This window comes from Homo sapiens, chromosome 17 (assembly GCF_000001405.40).
Source record: "Homo sapiens chromosome 17, GRCh38.p14 Primary Assembly".
NCBI classification, from domain to species: domain Eukaryota; kingdom Metazoa; phylum Chordata; class Mammalia; order Primates; family Hominidae; genus Homo; species Homo sapiens.
This window is the reverse complement of record NC_000017.11, coordinates 71,125,127-71,146,850: the sequence shown is the minus strand read 5'-3', so window position 1 is coordinate 71,146,850 and position 21,724 is coordinate 71,125,127. Positions and strand designations below refer to the sequence as shown.

Sequence of the window (21,724 nt, the reverse complement as noted above, 5' to 3'; positions counted from 1 at the left end):
GCTTCTGCTGAATTCACTTCGTGATTCATAAACTCCACAACACAGCTGGTAGCCTATGCTTGCCGACAGGCCTCAACTTTTTATCACCCAGAATTCTACACATGTGTTCTTTGGATGCCCTTTCTCTGGTTCTCATTTTGACCTTTCCCCTAAGTGAGTCTGAATTTTAATTTCCTTAATTCTATTCTGGTTCCATGCAATTAATCACATTCAAAATAAGAATTCTCTAAATGGACCCCTTAAGTTTGTATCATTGCTACAAGCAAGTGTGCTTTGTTCTTTACCTATGAACTGTGTTCACTTTGTGTGCAGAGATATAGAAAAAAAAATCCGGCTACTTCTTTAGAAATCAGCTGTCATCTGGGATAAACCATTGAAAAGCCTTTTATTTTGGCAGACTGAAACAATCATGGATCTACGATGGCTATCCTTTCCTTGGTTTTGGTCTTTCTTGATATGATTTGCATGGAGACCTTTTGCCTTAGTAGCCCATCTGTTCTTACTGCTTATTCCCCACTGAAGTCAAGCTTAATGAAGAATGGCTCTCCATAGGTTCATAAGTTTGATTTGCATAGCCATTCAGAGTTTGGATATCCATCAGAATTTCTCTGGCCTGGAAATCAGGTTAGAAATATCAGGAGACTGTGTTCTCATTTCTCATGGGAGATTTCTCCAAGTCTCTCTCTCTCTCTCTCTCTCTCTCTCCAGTCCAGCTAGAAATAAATTACAAGAAATATCTCTTATTTCTCCTTTATTTATTTCATTGGAGTTATCACTCTTGGATGAGACTTGTTTAAACATTTAACTTGATTAACCTGATTATAAATGTGTTAGAGCTTATTAAGTGCTGTCAAATACAGTCAAATATTGACTTTGAGTATCATTTGAGGTCAGTTTTATTCCACTTATTTTGGCCTTACTTTTTTGGGAAATGCAAACAAAATAAATTTAAGTTATCAAAGAAGTCCTTTATGTCTACATAACCAATTATCTTAGAAAAAACAATTAGAAAGGCAAGTCATGATTTTACTAGGTATTCAAAACCTTGGATAGCGTATTCTTCCCTGGCTCTCTTCCTGAAAAATTAAACCAAAAGTATTGTAGGAATTTTGAGGACTGACTTATGAGTTTATAGACACAGAGGCTCTGATTTTCCAGAAAAGTCCTTGTTAGGCTAGGTATTATTTGGAACCACGATAGGTCATTCGAGTTATTTTTTGTTGGTTTGTTTTGGCTTTCTCTTATGCTAACTTGGGACTACATGATTGATGGTTTTTAAGGAAAACTAAACAATTATCAGTTATTTGTATTAGTGATTAACTTTTTTTCCACATATGATTATAGGACTTAAAGAACCAACAGGAAGTTCATTGTGATTCATCAGGAGTGAAAATTCAGCATTTTTGTCTTAAAGATTAGCAATAATTTTTAAAAGCCATCATTACATCAATGTATATGTTTTGATTAATAATAATGCTAGGTCAGGTGCTATGGCTTATGCTTGTAATTCCAGCACTTTGGGAGGTCAAGGTGGGAGAATTGCTTCAGGCCGAGTGATTGAGACCAGCCTGGACAACATAGCAAGACCCCAGCTCTACAAAAAATTAAAATATTAGCCAGGTGCAATGCTGCATGCTTATAGTCCTAGCTACTCGGGAGGCTGAGATGGGAAGAGGATGAGCCCAGGAGTTTAAGGTTACAGTGAACTATGATTGCCCCACTGCACTCCAGCCTGGCCAACAGAGTAAGACACTGTCTTAAATAATAATAATAATGCTAAATGTTAGTTCTGATATTATGATTATATTTAGTAAAATTAAGAGTAATAAAATGATCAAAGTAAATTGTATAAAAATTTTATCATTATTATTATTTTTGAGATGGAATTTCACTCTAGTCACCCAGGTTGGAGTGCAGTGGTATGATCTTGGCTGATTGCAACCTCCGCCTCCAGGGTTCAAGTGATTCTCCTGCCTCAGCCCCTCAAGTAGCTGGGATTACAGGCACCTGCCACCACATCCAGCTAGTTTTTGTATTTTTAAGAGAGACAGGGCTTCAGCATGTTGGCCAGGCTGGTCTTAAACTCCTGACGTCAGGTGATCCACCCGCCTCAGTCTCCCAAAGTGCTGGGATAAAGTATAAAGAAATAATTCAATTTTCCTAAATGGATAAACAACAACGACAACAACAAAACTCAAAACAAAACAAACACAAAACAAAAAATTTTGTTTTCCAAAACCCCTTCTCACCTTGGTTCTGTCTTGCCCCTCAAGCCAAATAACATCACTACAGAATTATTTTCAAATAAGCTTTTCTTCACACACTAAAATAGAGACCTGTCGTTTGTCCTTGATTTATGATTAATTTTGAAGGAAGAGTGCTCTAGGATAGCTTCCTTGTTAGGGTTCTAGATGGAAAAAAGTAAATAAGTACACTGAAAATTGCCCTGAGGATATCCTTGTCTGGTTTCAGACAAAAGCACGTATTCTATGTATTTTCTTAAAAGTAATTTACTTAAACAAATTATATAAATGTACTGAATTACATGTTTACATAGTAAATTAAATAATAATACTCAAATTCCCAGATAAGATGTTAATTGCAGCCTCTAAAATATAATTTAAAATAATTATTTTCTCTAACAATTATTATCAAATTATATGGTGCATGCTCTATCTCATATAACAGGAAAAGTAAAACTTAAATATTGCTAAACAACAACCAAAAAGTATCATATCCAAATAACCCTTATAACTTTGTAACACAGGAGCTGTTTCAGTCTGTTAGAAGATGGTAGTACCTTAAACTGACATAAACTCAAATAATGTTATGCATTTTGTTTTTGTTTTTATTTTGTAATCATCTATAAGAAAACTCTTAACTTTTTTTTACAGCCCATTAAAAATGTGTTACATTTATAGTCGTTAAATGGTTAAAGAACAATAATAATACAAAATAAGTAAGCTATAAGGAGCTGAATTTTGGTTTAAAACACCAAATTGAAATAAGAAGGTATTTGTAAAAACCAGTGGTGTCTCGTCTTTTGGCTTCCCTGGGCCACGTTAGAAGGAGTATTGTTTTGGGCCACACATAAAATACACTAACACTAGCAATAGCCGATGAGCTAAAAAAAAAAAAAAAAAAAAAAAAAAAAAGAGTCACAAAAGAATCTCATAATGTTTTAAGAAAGTTTACGGATTTGTGTTGTGTCACATTCAAAGCTGTCCTGGGTCACATGCAGCCCATGGGCTATGAGTTGGACAAGTTTGGTATAAACCTAGATACTGGGGACTAATGTTTGTAGTGGGTTCTGAAATAACATACCTTAAGCAACTTTGTGGCTGAAGTCCATTAGTATTTTTTCTTTTTTCTTTTTTTTTTTTTTTATGAGATGAAGTCTCACTCTGTTGCCGAGGCTGGAGTGCAGTGGCACAGTCTCGGCTCACCACAACCTCCACCTCCCAGGTTCAAGAGATCCTCCTGCCTCAGCCTCCTGAGTAGGTGGGATTACAGGTGTGCGCCACCACACCCAGCTAATTTTGTATTTTTAGTAGAGACGGGGTTTCTCCATGTTGGTCAGGCTGGTCTCAAACTCCCGACCTCAGGAGATCCGCCCACCTCGGCCTCCCAAAGTGCTGGAATTACAGGCGTGAGCCATCGTGCCCAGCCTAGTATTTTTTTAGGCATAATAGTCTTGCTTTCCCCTGACCTTAAAAGAGATAGCTTAATGTTCCGATGTGGCAATATTTCCTCAATTAAATGCTTAATTTAATGAAGTCTCCTTAAAAATTAGTTAATTTATAAGGAGTTAATTTATCATCTAGAGTTACAACTCATATCTAAGAGAGCTAATATTATTTTTTTCAAAACTCACTGTTTTATCAATGGATTTCACTCTACACAGTAAGTAATGCTATATTTTGTCGACTGTGAAAAAATTTTCCTCTGTCTATACTGCACATATCTTTAGCTTTGTAAACACATGCTTCATTCCAACATCTGTATGGCCAGCATTGCAGAAGCAAATTGACTGGAAATGTGTAATCACCTTTTGTCCTGCATAAAATCTGTGCGCTCATTAGGTGTGGGAGATAACTGTGCAACCACACCACATATGGGAAGAAAGAAGCATACACACACTTTCCACATTCTGACAGTGTCCTGATGAACTGGGAACGGGCCCTAGGAAAAGAGTGAAGACAGAAAAATAGTTCCCCATGGAAGAAGTTAAGAATTTCTCTAATAACAGAATGAGTGAGCAAATCAAGAGAACCACAGCTCTGCTACTGTTTAAGAGACTGTAGATAACAATGTAAACACTTCAGGGAAAGAACCATTTATTTCCTCTATTATCTTACTGGGTAATAGTTGTAGTTTGGTGCAGTTAGCAGGAGTCCTTTCAAACAGCTTATTTTTTTTCTTGCATTCTACGTCTCTTAATCAATGAAAGAAATTTACTATATTTCTCTCAGTGAATAAACTGAATTTTAAAAACGTTAAATACTTCCTGATAAGAACCTTAGAAAGTTACAATTCAGGAAAAATGGACTATCTTCTTTCCTGGGAATATTTATTTTGAGAAGACACCGACAAGCGAATATGCATGTTACTTATTTGAAGGAAGAAAAGGAGCTTTTCTCTCTGAGTTACGGATCCCAGGTTTAGCTTTGAATTTTATCAAAACTCATAAGCCATAGTGTGCCTAAAACAGACATCATGTTGGTTAATGAATAGTTCCTGAATCTGGGGATCAGTGGACATTAATTAGAGTCCCATTCAACTGCTAACAAGTTAAAAGGCTTTAGATACATTATTTAATCTGTTTAAGCATCATTTTAATAACATGAAGAAAACAAATCTCAGAGATGAAGTGTGAGTAATATAAAAAGAGAAAGCTATTTTGAAAAGTTAAAATGCCTATATCTGTAATCTATGTGCAGACTATTACAGGTTTCTAAACCTGTAATACTTTAGAAATCTAAGACAGTAATCCATAAATGTGTTTATGTTCTTCAACTTTATGTAGACAAAGCTTTTCCTCATCTGGGTGAATTTCACTACCATGTAATGCAAGACACGTAAAATTCATGCCATAAATACATGGTATATTGCACAGGAAAATTTACTTTCATTTTTAACTGAAAAATATTAACATAAAATCCATATACTTATTAGACAGATTCGTAAACCCCAGGATTTCAATATATCTGTTGGCCTAATAATCACAATAAGAAAAAAAGTTGTAATCTATTTATCCCACTGGCCCTATCTAGCCCACCCAATGATTATAGCAGATGTGAATTAAATATAGATATATTTGCAATTAGAGTGAAAGACGACACTGACCATATATGAACACAGACCCGCCAGCTTCGTAAACGTTAATGCCATAATAGTCTCAATTCTGCAGTCACCATTGCTGGGATAACATTCGTTTGCTGTCAGCACTCCTATGTTAAAACAAATTAGCCAGATGATTAATGAATATCAAAATCAGCATGTGGATTCTCTGTGCTGAAGTCTTACTCAGTGTGAAATCCACTGGTTTCCAACTTAGTGAGATAATTTCTGGATCAAAATAATTCCCCTATGAACCTCGGAAGCATGTGGAAAAATGCTTCCAACCAACCACGGAATTGCATGGGATTGCGGGGCAGAGTAAGCCCCTTTCTTCGTAACAGAGATGAGGGTTTTGTTGTTGTTCCCGTGACGTTTTTCGGACAAAACAGAAAGGGGTTAGTTCATCAAAAAATAAGCAGATTCAATACAGAGTTAAAAAAAAAATTCTGAAGAGCAAAAAACTGTAATCTTATAGAATGTTTTTCAAACAAATCATATTATGGGCTTTATTAAGAGCTAAAGGCGAAAGTTCATGGATGCCCCATTACCCCACTTGCACTTGCCAAAAGCCAAAGCCTTTTCTTTTTTTTTTTGACTTGGAGTTTTGCTCTTGTTGCCCAGGCTGGAGTGCGATGGCGTGATCTCGGCTCACGGCAACCTCCGCCTCCCGGGTTCAAGCGATTCTCCTGCCTCAGCCTCCCAAGTAGCTGGGATTACAGGTGCACACCACCACGCCCAGCTAATTTTGTATTTTTAGTAGAGACAGAATTTCTCCATGTTGGTCAGGCTGGTCTCGAACTCCTGACCTCAGGTGATCCACCCGCCTCAGCCTCCCAAAGTGCTAGGATTACAGGCGTGAGCCACCGTGCCTGGCCAAAGCCAAGCCTTTTCAATGTTCTTCTTTGAAACCAATTAGCATCCAGAGATATAATATAAAAAGGCAAATAAAATTAGCTTTGAGATAAGATTCATAAGCCTATATTATTCACATTTATTAAATAGACATACACACATATATATGTATATGTATGTGTGCATATACAAAATTTTATACATATCAAACAATAGTATATACATAATTATAAAATTATATATTAAAATAAAATTATATATAACTATATATAATTTTGTTTCATATGTATAAACTTTGTATATGTACACATACATATACATATATAACCATATATAACTTGTTATATATTATTACATAAACATCTACATAAATATTGTTTTATATATGTATATAAAACATTGTTATATATATATAAAACATTGCTTTATATATGTACAGACACACACAAAATTGGTTAAGGTTATCCATCAGATATCTCTACTATGATTACTGTATTTCCTTTTACAACAAATAAGTATATTGTGGAAAAATAATTTGAGACTATGCATATATCCTGTTTCTCATTATAATTTTCCTATTATTTTTAACATCTATTAATGATTCTTGCTTGTAACAGTTGTTATGTGTGTGCACGCTAAATACTGATTTTATATTTCCAACGTTCCTTCTATGTTTATTAATTGGAGTTCTAGGGTAATTAAGAGCTTTTCTTTTTCCCTTGGTTATTTATATGTTCCATTATTTATATTAGTTTGAACTTACCCACATTTATTGCATGGGTTATAATCCATCACTATTTATTTTGTTGTTCATAATGCCCCACATTCTACCATTGGGAGCTCCCTCCAGTTGGCTCCTGTGTCATTAGACATGCCTCTAAAATTCTTTGAAAACCTCTGTATTTTTCAGCCCAAGAAGACATTCCAGGTTCATCTTATACTTTCCCTATCCCACTCCCTGCTCCAAGGAGTCTTGGTCCATTTTACTTGAAAAAGATATTTAAAAACCAAGACTTGGGCTTTAGATATTTAAAAACCAAGACTTGGGTCTTTGACATACTCCTTGGTCCTGGGATATGATTGTTTTGAGGCCCTCTTAGTTGGTGGAGCTAGGAAATATGTGTATGTACATGCATATTTGTCTGTCTAGATTTTTAAAATAAATTCACACACCTCTGATTTCAGTCCACCACAAGGCTTATTCTTGCCTTCCCAACTTTCCTTACTTATAACCTATTTCTCCAACAGTATGAAACCTGGCTCCCATGTTCCACAACAAATTAACCTATTTTTCTGAATCCTATAATACATATAAAGTAACTTTTGTGTTACTAACTTGTTTACTAACTACAGTACAATATTTGCACAAACTTCTTTTGTCTTCAGCCTTACAGTACAGGTACTGGTTACTGAAGTTTGTTCTCTTCTTCCCACCACATTCATTGTGGTTATGTCATTTATTAGTAATAGTTATAGGTTCATTTGTTACTGTTTGTATTCCATTTGGGATTCTTCCAAAAAATATGGTTGGTTTTATTTGTTAATTCATTGGGTGTGCATATACAAAAAGGCATACTCAGAGAACTGTCACTTTGTCATCTCTAACGCCCTCTCCCTAGACCCCAATCTTTCCATGCTGTTTAAACCCACCCTCTTTAGGTGATCAGATAAGAATGTTAAAATAGTGATTAAAGCACTCAAGAAATGAAATGACAAAATGGTGAATATCAGCACAGACTGGAAGTTCTAGCCAGAGGAGAATAAGTCATTATTTGAAAAAGATACTTGCACACACATGTTTATAGCAGCGCAATTCACAAATGCAAAATCGTAGAACCAACCCAAATGCCCATCAATCAACGAGTAGATAAAGAAAATGTGATGTATAAATATATATACATATATATATGATGGAACATATATACACACACATATATATGATGGAATACTACTCAGCCATAAAGAGGAATGAATTAACAGCATTTGCAATGACCTGGATGAGATTAGAGACTATTATTCTAAGTGAAGTAACTCAAGAATGGAAAACCAAAGAATGGAGAACATCAGTGTATGTTCTCACTGATATGTGGGAGCTAAGCTATCAGGATGCAAAGGCATAAGAATGATACAATAGACTTTGGGGACTTGGGGGGAAGAGTGAGAGGGGGTGAGGGATAAAAGACAACAAATATGGTGCGGTATATACTGCTCGGGTGAAGGATGCACCAGGATCTCACAAATCTCCGCTAAAGAACGTACTCATGTAACCAAATACCACCTGTACCCCAATAACTTAAGGAAAAATAAAATTTTTTAAAAAAGAATTAAATGGGATTATAGAACCAAAAGATAGAAAAACTGAAATTAAGAATTCAAAGGCTGAAGGGATTTCACTACCGATTAGGCTGTTGAAACTGTGAAACATCATTGTTTCTGCCCAAACAATGATGTTAAACTAAAAATTCCTCTTCTTTAATGACATTGAAGGTCTGTAGACACAATGAGGTCTAAATGATTGATGTTGCAGATCAGGGCAAGCTCTTTCCGGCTGAGGAATGCCCAGCAGTCATTTTCACGTGAGGGGAAGGGGTAGTTGTCCTATCTGATGGCATGTGTGTGCCCTGCAAAAGCCCCTTGAAGTAAGACCTGTTGGTGCAGCGGTTGGGAATGCCATCAGATGACAGATTTTGGCTATTAATCCCTTCAGGGTTTGCTTCAGCTGCAGAAAGCCAACTCGCTCAAAAGCATGCTTTTCTAGGGGTGGTCCATATCCAATGACTGAGACATTTTGGCCCAACCCAGGAAAATTGTGACTGGCCATTTTATTCTCGAACTCTTTGTGGGGTTGGTTGAGGCTATTGGGTCTACATTGTAGGTTGACTTCCCTTTCTGCCTAAATCTGCTTTTTCCTTCTCCCTTCCACGGATGTTGGTTTCTAATAAACATTCTATCCATTAGACTGTCTCAGAGATTGCTGCCTGGGGAACTTCACCTGTGGCAGTTAATGCCTGGAGTGTCCAAGAAAGCGAATATTCAAGTCGGGTTTTGGAGCTCAATTGCCTTCTTCCCAGGTGGCAGTGAGGACCCTATCCTTGGTGATAAGTGGCACGTAGCTTGTGGCACAAGGTGACAGTCCAGTTGTGAAAACTTTCACTAGTGATGAATGCTGATGGTACACACAGAAGGGAAAGTTCTAGCTGGTGAAATGCATCAGCCAGCCTTTGAAAGGACCAGAGAAATAGTAACTAAAAAGACAATGGTTGGGAGGCCAAGGTGGGCAGATCACCTGAAGTCAGGAGTTCGAGACCAGCCTGGCCAACATGGTGAAACCGCATATCTACTAAAAATACAAAAAAAAAAAAAAATAGCCAGGAGTAGTGGTGGTCACCTGTTATCCCAGCTACTTGGGAGGCTGAGGCAGGAGAATCGCTTAGACCTTGGAGATGGAGGTTGCCATGAGCTGAGATTGCACCACTGCACTCCAGCCTGGGCGACAAGAGCGAAACTCTTTCTCAAAAAAAAAAAAGACAGAGGGATTAGATGTCTGTTGCTAAACTCATTTGACACTTAGAAAAAGATAAGGAAAGACTAAAAGCAGTTAACTGGCAATTGAAAGACCAGTGTAAACATCAGGGTATTTTTTTGTAGGAAGCAAGGAGGCTCTGCAAAGTAGTCTGCAGTGAAAGTGCAGAGAAAGCTGAAGATGGGGCCCAGGACTTAATCATCAGAGCAGCAGAGCACCTAAAGTTAAACTTCCAGCCATGCAGGCTTGAAATGCCAAGGTCAGAAGAATGAGACACTGACATATGGGATGAGATATCTACATTGAAAACCCTGAACCCTGAAAACCTTAAATATGTACACTTCCCAGAAAGTTCTGGGCCTTCAGAAGGGGCCCATCCTTCCCCATGAAGAACCCCTTCCCCATAAAGATCCCCTTCCCTTGTAGACAATCCAAAGGCCTCTCCCTTGTGAGGCAGGGATGTGGCTGAGGATCCGACCCCTCCCTCCTCCCTTGCCATTAGGTGTATCACTAGGGAGAGGTCACAGGATGTCTTAGGCTGAAAATACAGACAATACAGGGCCTGAAAATGGAGGAAAAGGCCTATACCACAAAGGATTGCCATTCCCAGAGAGTGCGTTCTGGCAGGAGCCAGGGGCGCATGTGTGGGGCTGGATTCTGAGTGTGCTTGACAAGGGGAGCTCTGAGCGTAAGACTGGATAAGGGAGAGTTTATAATTTATTTGCACTCTTCCAAGATACAGAATTTACTACCCTGCAAGGACTCCTAGAAGCATGGACAAAATGATGTCCTGCACCTCCTCGCTTCCCTAGGCTAACTGAGGGAAAATGCCAGAACTACTGTAGCAGACAGTGGAGGAAGGGCTAAAGAACTCAGGGTACAGGGCTTGCCGGAGTGGATATATTATGTAAGGATAAGAAACTCAACAGATGATCACGTTGGATATAAGGCATGGAAGTTCTGCTATTTACTGAGGTCATCAGGAATGCACTGCATCACTAAGAAACTCAGCAGTGTCCCCTCTCTGCAGACCATGGCTGGTGGGAAGCCATTATAGAAAGAGGCATGGCTAGCATTGCGGATGATAAGGCTCTAGAAAGACAGATGGCAGGTCAGAAGCCTGGTGCATGGTACCATAATGAGAGGTAAGGTTGGAGGAGCTGTTCCCGACTGTGTATGAAGAAGCAGATTTTAGCAGCTCAAGAGTAGATTCCAGTGAACCTGGAGATGTAACGTCCAGATTCCCTTTCAAAGAAGCACTGCTGCTCCTGTTGTTGGGAGCACTGTCAACCCTCTAGAAGTTGCTTCAGCTACAGTCACCTTGCCCTTCCCAAAGCAGCCACATTTTATGACTGACTGAGGCAGGAATATAAAGGTCTGGGCATTTTTGCACGATGTAGGAAAAATCTAACAGGCATTTCAGTCACATAGCTCTCTGTGTGGCTTGCTGAGGCAGTTGGGCCTGTATTGCAGCTCGACTTCTCCTTCTGTCCAGTCCTGCATTCCATCCTCCTGTACTAGATTGAATGGTCCCTATCCCCCAATCCCCCCAAAAATGTAAACTCACTTCCTAATCCCTAGAACCTGTGAATGTCAGCTTGTTTGGAAAAATGGGTCTTTACAAATGTGACAAAGTTAAGAATTTGAGGTGAAATGATCCTGGATTATCTGGGTGGGCCCTAAATCCAATGATATGTTCTTATGAAAGACACACATGGGAGAGACACACAGGGAAAAGAGCAGGCCATGTGAAGGCAGAGATTGAAGTAGCAGCCACAGGCCAAGGAATGGTGGTAGCCAGCAGAACCTGAAAGTGGCAAGGCACAGAGTGTTCCCCGGAGCCTTTGGAGGGAGAGCAGATCTTCCCACACCTTGATTTCTGACTTCTGGCCTCCAGATCCATAAGACAATAAATGTCTGGGGTTTTTTGTTGTTGCTGTTGTTTCTTTGTTTGTTTGGAGGCAGAGTTTCACTTTTGTTGCCCAGGCTGGAGTGCAATGGCACGATCTTGGCTCACTGCAACCTCCACCTCCCAGGTTCAAGCAATTCTCCTGCCTTAGCCTCTGAGTAGCTGGGATTATAGGCATGCTCCACCACACCTGGCTCATTTTGTATTTTTAGTAGAAACGGGGTTTCTCCATGTTGGTCAGGCTGGTCTCAAACTCCCGACCTCAGGTGATCTGCCCGCCTCGGCCTCCCAAAGTGCTGAGATTACAGGCGTGAGCCACCGCATCTGGCTCAAATGTCTGTTGTCTTAAGCCACCTGGTTTGCGGTACTTTGCTGCGGCAGTCCCAGGACACTAACACACCTCCCTCCACAGGTACGAGCCCAAGGGCACGTCCAATGAACATACTGCACATTGGGCTCCATCTCAGAGCCTGCTTCCCAAGAATTCGACCTGTGGCATGGGTAGGGCAATGGCCAGCCACAGTCACAGAGATTTTTCCATAATGAGAAGACTCTTGTTGAAGGTTTACCCTAGGCTGGAATGACAAGAGAGAATCTGGAAGGTACCAGGGTAGGTAGAACAGTAGCCCCTCAGGGATATTCAGGTTCAAAACCATGAAACTTCTGAATATGTTAGGTTCCATGGCAAAGGGGAATTTAGGTTGTTGATGGAATTAAGGCAACTCATCAGCTGACCTTAAAATGCAGAGATTATTCTAGTTAATTCAATGTAATAACACAGGTCCTTAAAGGTTGAAGAGAGAATTAGACAACACTAGAGAGATGGCAGCGTGAGGACACACATTGACATTGTCGGCTCTGAGGAATAAGGTAGGGGCCATCAGCTAAGGAATGCAGCACTAGAAGTTGGAAAAAGCAAGGAAATGGATTTTCCCTCAGAGCCTCCAGAAACAAGTGCACCCTGCTGACATCTTGATCCTAGTCCAGTGAAATCTCCATCAGGCTTTTGATCTACCAAACTCCAAGATAATGAATCTGCGTTGTATTAAGCCATGAAGTTTATAGTAACTTGTTATAGCAGCCAGAGGAACTGGCTCTGTAAAGTTAGCCCCAAATGTAAAGCTAGACCCTCCAGATTCAACAATTCTTTCCTACTTTTTCTGAGTTAGTGGTGATTAGAACTATCTCTTAGTCCCACTGTGCCTGTGTCATGGACTGGAGAGGTCAGACTTCACCTCCAAAACACTTGAAACTAAAAGATAACTCAAGTTCATTAAATCAGAACCCCAAATACCACACAGATGACATCCTGAGGAGATCAAAGAGCCTGGAGAAGCTGGAAAGGAGAAATATATCTTACAGTCTTTAGGAGCTTGGTGAAACATTTGTAGAGCCCTGATGGAGGAATGGGTCTGACCTCACTCTCAAGAGAACCAGTTCTGAGCTGGAACTAACCAAAGCTGCTACTGATCCACTACCCAGCTTAACTCCTAGTGAGATAGAAGAGATTACCCCTTCACTTTAGCTGTTTGACACAAAAAGGTATACCATTTTGGGGACAATTGTTATTTGATTCAGTCTCTTCTCTTTTGTCCATAATATATATCATAAAATATAAAAAGTATAAGACATGTGAAGAAGCAGGAAAATGTCATCTATAATTTAGTTTTGAAAAGCATCCATAGAAGCAGACCTACAGATGCACATGACATAGATTTTGAAATTAGAGACATGACCTTTAATAATCTCTTTTCTTAGAGAGATATTTAGGAAATAATCTCTTATTTATTTGAAGCTTGTAATTCCCTCAGTTTTTTTTCACCTATCAGATTGACAAAAAATCCAAAATCTTGACAAGATTGGCAAGATTGTAAGGCAACAGGCACTTTCATACATTGCTGGTTGAAATATAAAATGCTATTATCCCATGGAGGACAATTTGGCAATACTGAGCTAAACTACTAATGCATGTATTTTTTTTTTTTTACCTGTGGATTTCATGTTTAAGAATATACCCTGAAGACACATGTTTAACAATGTGGAAAAGCATATGCAAAAGTTATTCATTGCGGTATTGTCATTGTAAAATATTGTAAACTACCTAAAGTGTAGAATGAAAAAGACTGCTTTCACTGGCCAAGTCTGAGATAATTTAAGCATTAAGGTAGATAAGAAAAATAATAGTTGGTAGAATAAACTATGGTACATGCATACTATGGGGTACTATTAACTGATTTAAAGAATGAGAAACATCTCTATGAACTGAAAGAGAGATGTTTCCAGAATTTATTTTAAAGTGAAAAATGAAAAGGGACATATGCAGTATGCTACCTTTTGTGACAGAAAGAACAGAAAAAAAGAAAATGTACACATATCTGTATAATTTCGTAAAAAAAAACAAGACTGATAATATACAAATGAATGAAACTTGTTACTAATTAGGGAAGGAGATGAAAGGGTAGGGCTGCAGGGGAGGGGAGGAAATGATGTTTCTTTGAGTATACCTTTCTATACAATTTTGACTTTTAATTGTATGCTCATCCTTTACATATCCAATAAAATGAAATTACAAGGGTGGGGGAAAACCCCAAACTAAATGCAAACAGTAACAAGTGAACTTCATGGCTTTCAATGAGTAAAGTAACTTCCCTAAGGAAATTAAAAATTCTTTTTATTGTGGTAAAATATACATAACATAAAGCATATCATTGTAACCATTTTAAATCTCTATCTATTGAAAGATTTTTCTTTTTTAGGAGACGGGGTCAAGGTGGCAGGCAAGATGGTCAAATAGAAGTAGCTTCAGTCTGCAGCTCCCAGTGAGATCAACACAGAAGGCAGGTGGTTTCTGCATTTCTAACTGAGGTACCCGGCTCATCTCACTGGGACTGGTTAGACAGTGGGTGCAGCCCATGGAGGGTGAGCTGAAGCAGGGTGGGGTGTCGCCTCGCCCGGGAAGTGCAAGGGGTCAGGGAACTCCCTCCCCTAGCCAAGGGAAGCCACGAGAGACTGTGCAGTGAGGAATGGTGCATTCTGGCCCAGATACTATACTTTTCCCATGGTCTTTGCAACCCACAGACCAGGAGATTCCCTTGGGTGCCTACACCACCAGGGCCCTGGGTTTCAAGCACAAAACTGGGCAGCCATTTGGGCAGACACTGAGCTAGCTGCAGGAGTTTTTTTTCATACCCCAGTGGCGCCTGGAATGCCAGGGAGACAGAACCATTCACTCCCCTGGAAAGGGGGCTGAAACCAGGGAGCCAAGTGGTCTAGCTCAGCGGACCTCACCCCCACAGAGGCCAGCAAGCTAAGATCCACTGGCTTGAAATTCTTGCTGCCAGCACAGCAGTCTGAAGTCGACCTGGGACACTCGAGCTTGGTGGCAGGAGGGGCGTCCACTACTACTGAGGCTTGAGTAGGCAGTTTTCCTCTCACAGTGTAAACAAAGCCACTAGGAAGTTTGGACTGGGCGGAACCCACCACAGCACCACAAACCTGCTGTAGCTAGACTGCCTCTCTAGATTCCTCCTCTCTGGGCAGGGGATCTCTGAAAGAAAGGCAGCAACCCCAGTCAGGGGCTTATAGATAAAATTATCACCTCCCTGGGAGAGAGCACCTGGGGGAAGGGGCAGCTGTGGGGGCAGCTTTAGCAGACTTAAACATTCCTGCCTGCCAGCTCTGAAGAGAGCAGTGGATCTCCCAACACAGCGCTTGAGCTCTGTTAAGGGACAGACTGCCTCCTCAAGTGGGGCCCTGACCCCCATGCCTCCTGACTGGGAGACACCCCCCAGCAGGGGCCGAAAGACACCTCATACAGGAGAGTTCTGGCTGGCATCTGGCAGGTGCCCCTCTGGGACAAAGCTTCCAGAGGAAGGAACAGGCAGTAATCTTTGCTGTTCTGCAGCCTCTGCTGGTGATACCCAAGCAAACAGGGTCTGGAGTGGACCTCCAGCAAACTCCAGCACACCTGCAGCAGAGGGGCCTGACTGTTAGAAGGAAAACGAACAAACAGAAAGGAATAGCATCAACATCAACAAAAAGGACATCCACACAAAAACCCCATCTGAAGGTCACCAGCATCAAAGACAAAGGTAGATAAATCCCACGAATATGAGTAGTCCAGGAATTCTAAACAAGCCTGGGCAACATGGCAAAATCCCGTCTCTACAAAAAAATACAAAAATTAGCCAGGCATGGTGGTGTGCACCTGTAGTCCCAGCTACTTGAGAGGCTGAGGCAGAAGGATTGCTTGAGCCTGGGAGGTCGAGGTTGTAGTGAGTTGAGATTGTGCCACTGCACTCCAGCCTAGGTGACAGAGCAAGATCCTATCTCAAAAAAAAAAAAAAAGTTATACAAACATACAAATATTAAACTCATTCACACCTACTAACAATATATGCCACACTGAATGTGTGCTTTAGCTGTATCAATGTTACAATATTATGTAACATTACTACACCTCGTTAAATATCTCATATTGCTTGTTCTGACACATTATTTTACACCCAGTATTTTCACTCAATTTAGCCTAAAAAGTGAAGGTAAAAGATAATTTCATTTCTTTTATGCTTGTGTTTATCTGCTATAAAAACCTGCTAAATTAATAAGTAAGAAGAAAACATAGTGTATCTTTTTTTAAATTCCTGGATTAGCTTTCCATCTATTTTATTTTTAGGCTGGAGTGCAGTGGCACCATCTTGATTCACTGCAACCTCCGCCTCCCAGGTTCAAGCAATTCTCCTTCCTCAGCCTCCCGAATAGCTGGGATTACAGGTGCTCACCACCATGCCCAGCTAATTTTTGTGTTTTTAGTAGAGACGGGGTTTCACTATGTTATTTGTTTTTTTTAAAAAAAGTCAATGCATACTCATTGTAGGAGATAAAACCATCTCATTGCAACATTGCCTTCTTAAATATTGCTCCTGGTAACTATACCCTGGTGCCTATTAGGTGGCCATGATGTTTGGGCTAAAATCTCAATGGTGTCACGAGTGAAATGAAATAAGAAAGACATGTGTATTTTCTCTGCTAATGAAATACCCTAAATACTTAGGCCCTTTTCATCAAAATATCTCCATTAATAGACAGAAAATATGCATATGTCCGGCTGTTCCTTTACACTTTCTTCTTTATTGCATTTTACTTTTTAAACATCTATCTTTTACTACTTCCTAGATCACATACCTGAATGGAATCAGAGTAAAATTCAACCACAAGTCACTGGCATCTGTAATCCAAATATACCTCTAGAGGTTTCTTGTTTGTTTTTCTATCTGTACATACGTGGTCTAGAGACTTGTGGTATTTAAAAGCATGTATGGGTAAAATACCCAGCTCAATCATTTTTGCAAAAACATCTCTGTATTCCAGAAAATACATTCAGCTCTATCCATGAGGCAATCTATTTGCATAAATGTTTTGCTTCATCCATAAACACATATTGCAAATAAACAAAAACATATTTAAAAAACATAAAATTCATCAGCAATGGTGAACATCCTAGATCGGGCAAGTTGTTAAGAATCAGTTTTTATTATTAACTGAATTATGTGAATTCTGAGTCCTCTCTCACTGTCAGAACCCTCTAGAGTATTTAAAAAAATAGAAATATATTTTTTAATGAGGACAACCAGCATTTCTGCAATCATAGCACAGTGTAATAGTTTGAATGATAATGCCAGCATATCTGTATCCTAGTGAGAATATAAGATGTAAGCCACTTATTTAGATACCTAGTGTAATATGATCAACTCCAATATATCTTTTTTGCTAGGGGGAAATCAAGTTCCTGTTAATCTTCTTTCAAGGCATAAAGAATGAAGAGAAAAACAGTCTTCCTAAGACGTTAAAATTTTAAATCGTATTTAGTAGGTTCTACTGTATTTGAAATGCCATATTCTCCCTTCCCACACTTCACTTGAAGTTAGGAAATAGATTTACAATTTTCAGTGTTTATTAAACTAATGCTGGTCAAAGTTAAACATATTCTTTGTAAAATATAAGTCCCTGGTTCCTTCTGAGTGATTACATAAAGAACTCTTTGGTCCTTTTAAGACATTAGCTTCCATTGTAGCAAAGGTTTTACTTCTCAAGGCCACTAAAGTGTGGATTGACTGTTCAGTGGATCTTAAGCCAAATTAGTTTTAATTTCTATTTTATCTTAAAGTGTACACATCCAGAATGTTGTATAGGAGCATCCCTTATAACACTGCCACCACGCACATAAACACACATTCAACCCCACACACACCAAACCTGCTATACCTAAGAGGTAGCCACAATCCAATGTTTTTCCTCCCACATTCAGTGTTCAGCTAGGTCTCTGAGACTTTCCTAATTTCCACTACACACCTTCCTCACTTCAGCTTGTTTCTGATTTGGAGACACCACAAAATCTTGGGAGAACCGTGTTTGTGTACAGGATTTAGTACTATTTTGCTAGCATTCTTTTCCCATCGACCAAGACACGTTCATTCTGACAAACGCCACCATCCCAACTTAAAGTACATAAGATGTTGTTACTGTTGAAATTTGTTTCCTTAAAATAATATTTTACTATAATTTAGGCAAACAATAAATATGCCTCCTCCCAGGAGTAACACACCAAAGTTATGCACAGAAGAAAACTGATGATATTCTCCTCGGACTCTCTGTCTGTTTCACACCCTCTCTTCCTATAGTCTGTGCTACTTGTGCCTTAATTTACACATTTGTCCTTAGGAACTGGTGCTTGAGAGTGCCTTTTAATATTTTTTATCTTAATTAATCACATTTTTAAATCAAGAAAACCTAAACTTGCCAAAGAAAAAGCAGAATTTAAAAGGTTATGAGGTCTGCAAAGGTCTTAACTAACTTCAGAGTTTAGGAGAGATTAGATTTTTTTTTTTAAATTTGATTATTATACTTTAAGTTTTAGGGTACATGTGCACAACGTGCAGGTTTGTTATATATGTATACATGTGCCATGTTGGTGTGCTGCACCCATTAACTCGTCATTTAGCATTAGGTATATCTCCTAATGCTATCCCTCTCCCCTCCCCCACCCCACAACAGTCCCTGGTGTGTGATGTTCCCCTTCCTGTGTCCATGTGTTCTCATTGTTCAATTCCCACCTATGAGTGAGAACATGTGGTGGTTGGTTTTTTGTCCTTGCGATAGTTTGCTGAGAATGATGGTTTCCAGTTTCATCCATGTCCCTACAAAGGACATGAACTCATCATTTTTTATGGCTGCATGGTATTCCATGGTGTGTATGTGCCACATTTTCTTTACAGAATATTGCCGAATTCCAATACAGAAAGTGTTTTTGTTGAACTGTCTGATCACATAAAAAGGAATGTGCAGGGATTTCAACATTAGCTATAAGTTAAATGAGCAATTAGACAAAACTCTTGAGAATACTGTTTATCTCTGTTTCCTGACTTTGTTACTTCGAGCACAGTACTTTATCTCTGTGGTTAGGATTTGTCTCTTACCAAAATATAGAGCAGGACTAGATAAACTACAAAGACTTTTCTAACACTAAGACTATAATACTATAATTTACTTTCAGCATAGGCATATATACGACTATACATGCTGCTTACCCAAATGACTAATGACATAGTAAATGCTGATATAATCTGGCTTATTGCCTGGATTTGGAAATATGATTGGTCTATCACAATATATTAGGTATCTAGAGAATTTATGTGGGCATACTCATATAGCTTAGTTTTATTTTAAAGCAGATGTCAGTCAATTCTTAATGCTATTGGGAGTAAATGTCCCATCCTAAAGAAGAAGCTGAATTAAATGACAAAGCAGCTCTCTTGATTAGTACGGTTCCCACATGACACCTAAGAAACCTCCTCCACTCTATTTATTTGGACTGGATTAGTCTCTACTAAAGTCAGAAATGCCTGAAACTGTGTGCTTGCTCTTGAATGATCAGTTTTTTTGAGTAAAAACTATTTCCCGTGCATTATATTTCACTCAGTGACTTACACGCATTGAGTGTGTTTTGAATCAGAAACTTTCTCAGAATAACTACCATGTTTTTAAATTTCATTAAATGAGTATCATTATTTTAATGTTGAGATAGAAACCTGAGTTTTAGAAATATTAGGAACCTACGTTAAGGCCATGCAGCCGTAGAATGGTTGAGCCGGAATTTGACACTTAATCCTGGGTTTCCTCTATCTCACTACACTACCTTTAGACACACAGAGGCTGACAGTCTTCTTTGCTCACCAGGTAGAGACTAACAGTCATGTTCTTCCATTGAACTTACCAGACTAACTCCACTTGAGGGACACACACACACACATGCACACACACACACGCAACAAGCAAATTTGTTTATCTTTCAACCCATCTGGAAACACCATGTTATAAGTAAAAGAGAGTTATCAAAAGTTACTAAAGATATGTCTTGCAATAAATCCCTTTAAAATCAAATGTGTTTTTATTGAATTCTGTGTTGCGCACATTGAACAACATCAGAGCCATTCTTCAATGCAGTTAGCTTTTTTGGTGTTGCAAAAGTATGTTTTAAAGAAGAACCATTTGGAAACTTTTATTAAAGCAAAGCAAGCAAGACTGGAAATTGAGGGGAAGCAGGTTGCAATGTTGAGGTAGAAAGGTATCCCATGTAAGCTCATTTATTTTTTATTTGTTTTAATATTTGTTTATCACAAAATCTGGAATAATGGGGCTTTGAGGGCCTATGCTAAGGAAATAGAAGGAAATTAGAGTGCATTGTGTCAGGGGCACACATTGCCACCCTCACCAGGAAAGGAAAAGGAATCTGAGAAACCTCAGGACAATTAAACTTTGATTTCCACATCCTTACTGACAATGTGCTACTTACCTGCTATGGGAGTTACGGCTCTTGTCATATCACTGCTCCTACAGAAAGAGAATGGACCAGATGTATGCAATTTAATAAGTTTACATAGGTAACTACTTGGTTATTGATGGCTGGGTGGTGCTGTGTCATTTTGAATAATGAAAAAGCTTGCATTATAAATTAAGGTAAGAAAGAAAGTTTGGATGCATAAGGTAGTAAAAAGAGGTTGAACATTTTTTTGGCATTTATTGAGTTAATTGTGTTTTTCCCCTTAACATACCCTGAATAGTTATATAATATAAAAAGCTCTTTTTCATATCCCTCAGTGTGTGTTGGGACTCCACATATAGAATACCCCCACCCCCTGCAAAAAAAAAATTTAGTCGGTGCCAAAATCTACATTTTCATTTGGCGAACTAGTTAAATCTATTCATAATCTGGTGCCTGAATCAAATTTCAGAGCCGACTAGACTGCCTTGGCTCCTGGTTTCTGTTGCTCGACCTGTCTCCAACTGAATTTAGCTATGATGTTACATCTTTAGCTGTAGAAAATTTCTAATAAGGGTGGCCTGTTTTCCTTTGCCACTGAAGGGTTCATACACGAGATTCAGCATTTCCGAGTAGGGGCCCAGTTGGAGCCACCATGAAGCATTCTTTGGAAAGAAACTCCCTGTTTCTTTAACTTTTTCCCCTTTTTTTCCCCCTCTAAATGTTCACTTTAACGGCTCTAACACTACATAAAACTTATATACTACATAGTGAACAAATTGTATAGAGAGTGTGGTCAGGAATTATGAGAGAAAGCATAAGGATCCAAGGAATTTGTTGTGAAATTGTGCAGGATTTTTATGTTTGTAACACAGGAAGTGCAGGTGAAGACCGATCAGGAGCGAGCTGGGGTGTCCTCTTATCTAGAATGCGAGTAACTTTTTCCTCAAGACAGATTCAGATGAAGATGGAAAGAGAAGCAAAGTAGAGAAGAGGGAGAAGATTGGAACATCAGTTGCCAGAATACAATGCATTTGGAGACTTAGTTAAAATGAGAAAATAATGAATGGATTGTTGAACATTAAGAGGGTTACTGTAGATCTCAGTTTATTGCAGACAGTCCAGATATGGTATTGTTATCCTGTCTGGTTTATACATTGGAGATAGATCACATGATCATCCTACACATTGGTCCTCTAGGAAGCCCATGATAAGTAATTATGTTCATGTATTTTTTATTTGATCATAAAAATATTGGCGAGTTTTTTTTTTTCTCAAAGCA

At 38.9% G+C, this 21,724-nt stretch overlaps 1 long non-coding RNA gene across 1 annotated transcript in view; it reads left to right on the top strand.

Moving 5' to 3' along the window:
• CASC17 (cancer susceptibility 17) overlaps positions 1–21,724 on the top strand; it is a 104,406-nt gene that overhangs the window by 55,329 nt on the left and 27,353 nt on the right. The window contains exon 3 of the long non-coding RNA NR_104152.1: positions 14,381–14,461. This is a non-coding gene — a long non-coding RNA (cancer susceptibility 17). The remainder of the gene's footprint in view (positions 1–14,380; positions 14,462–21,724) is intronic.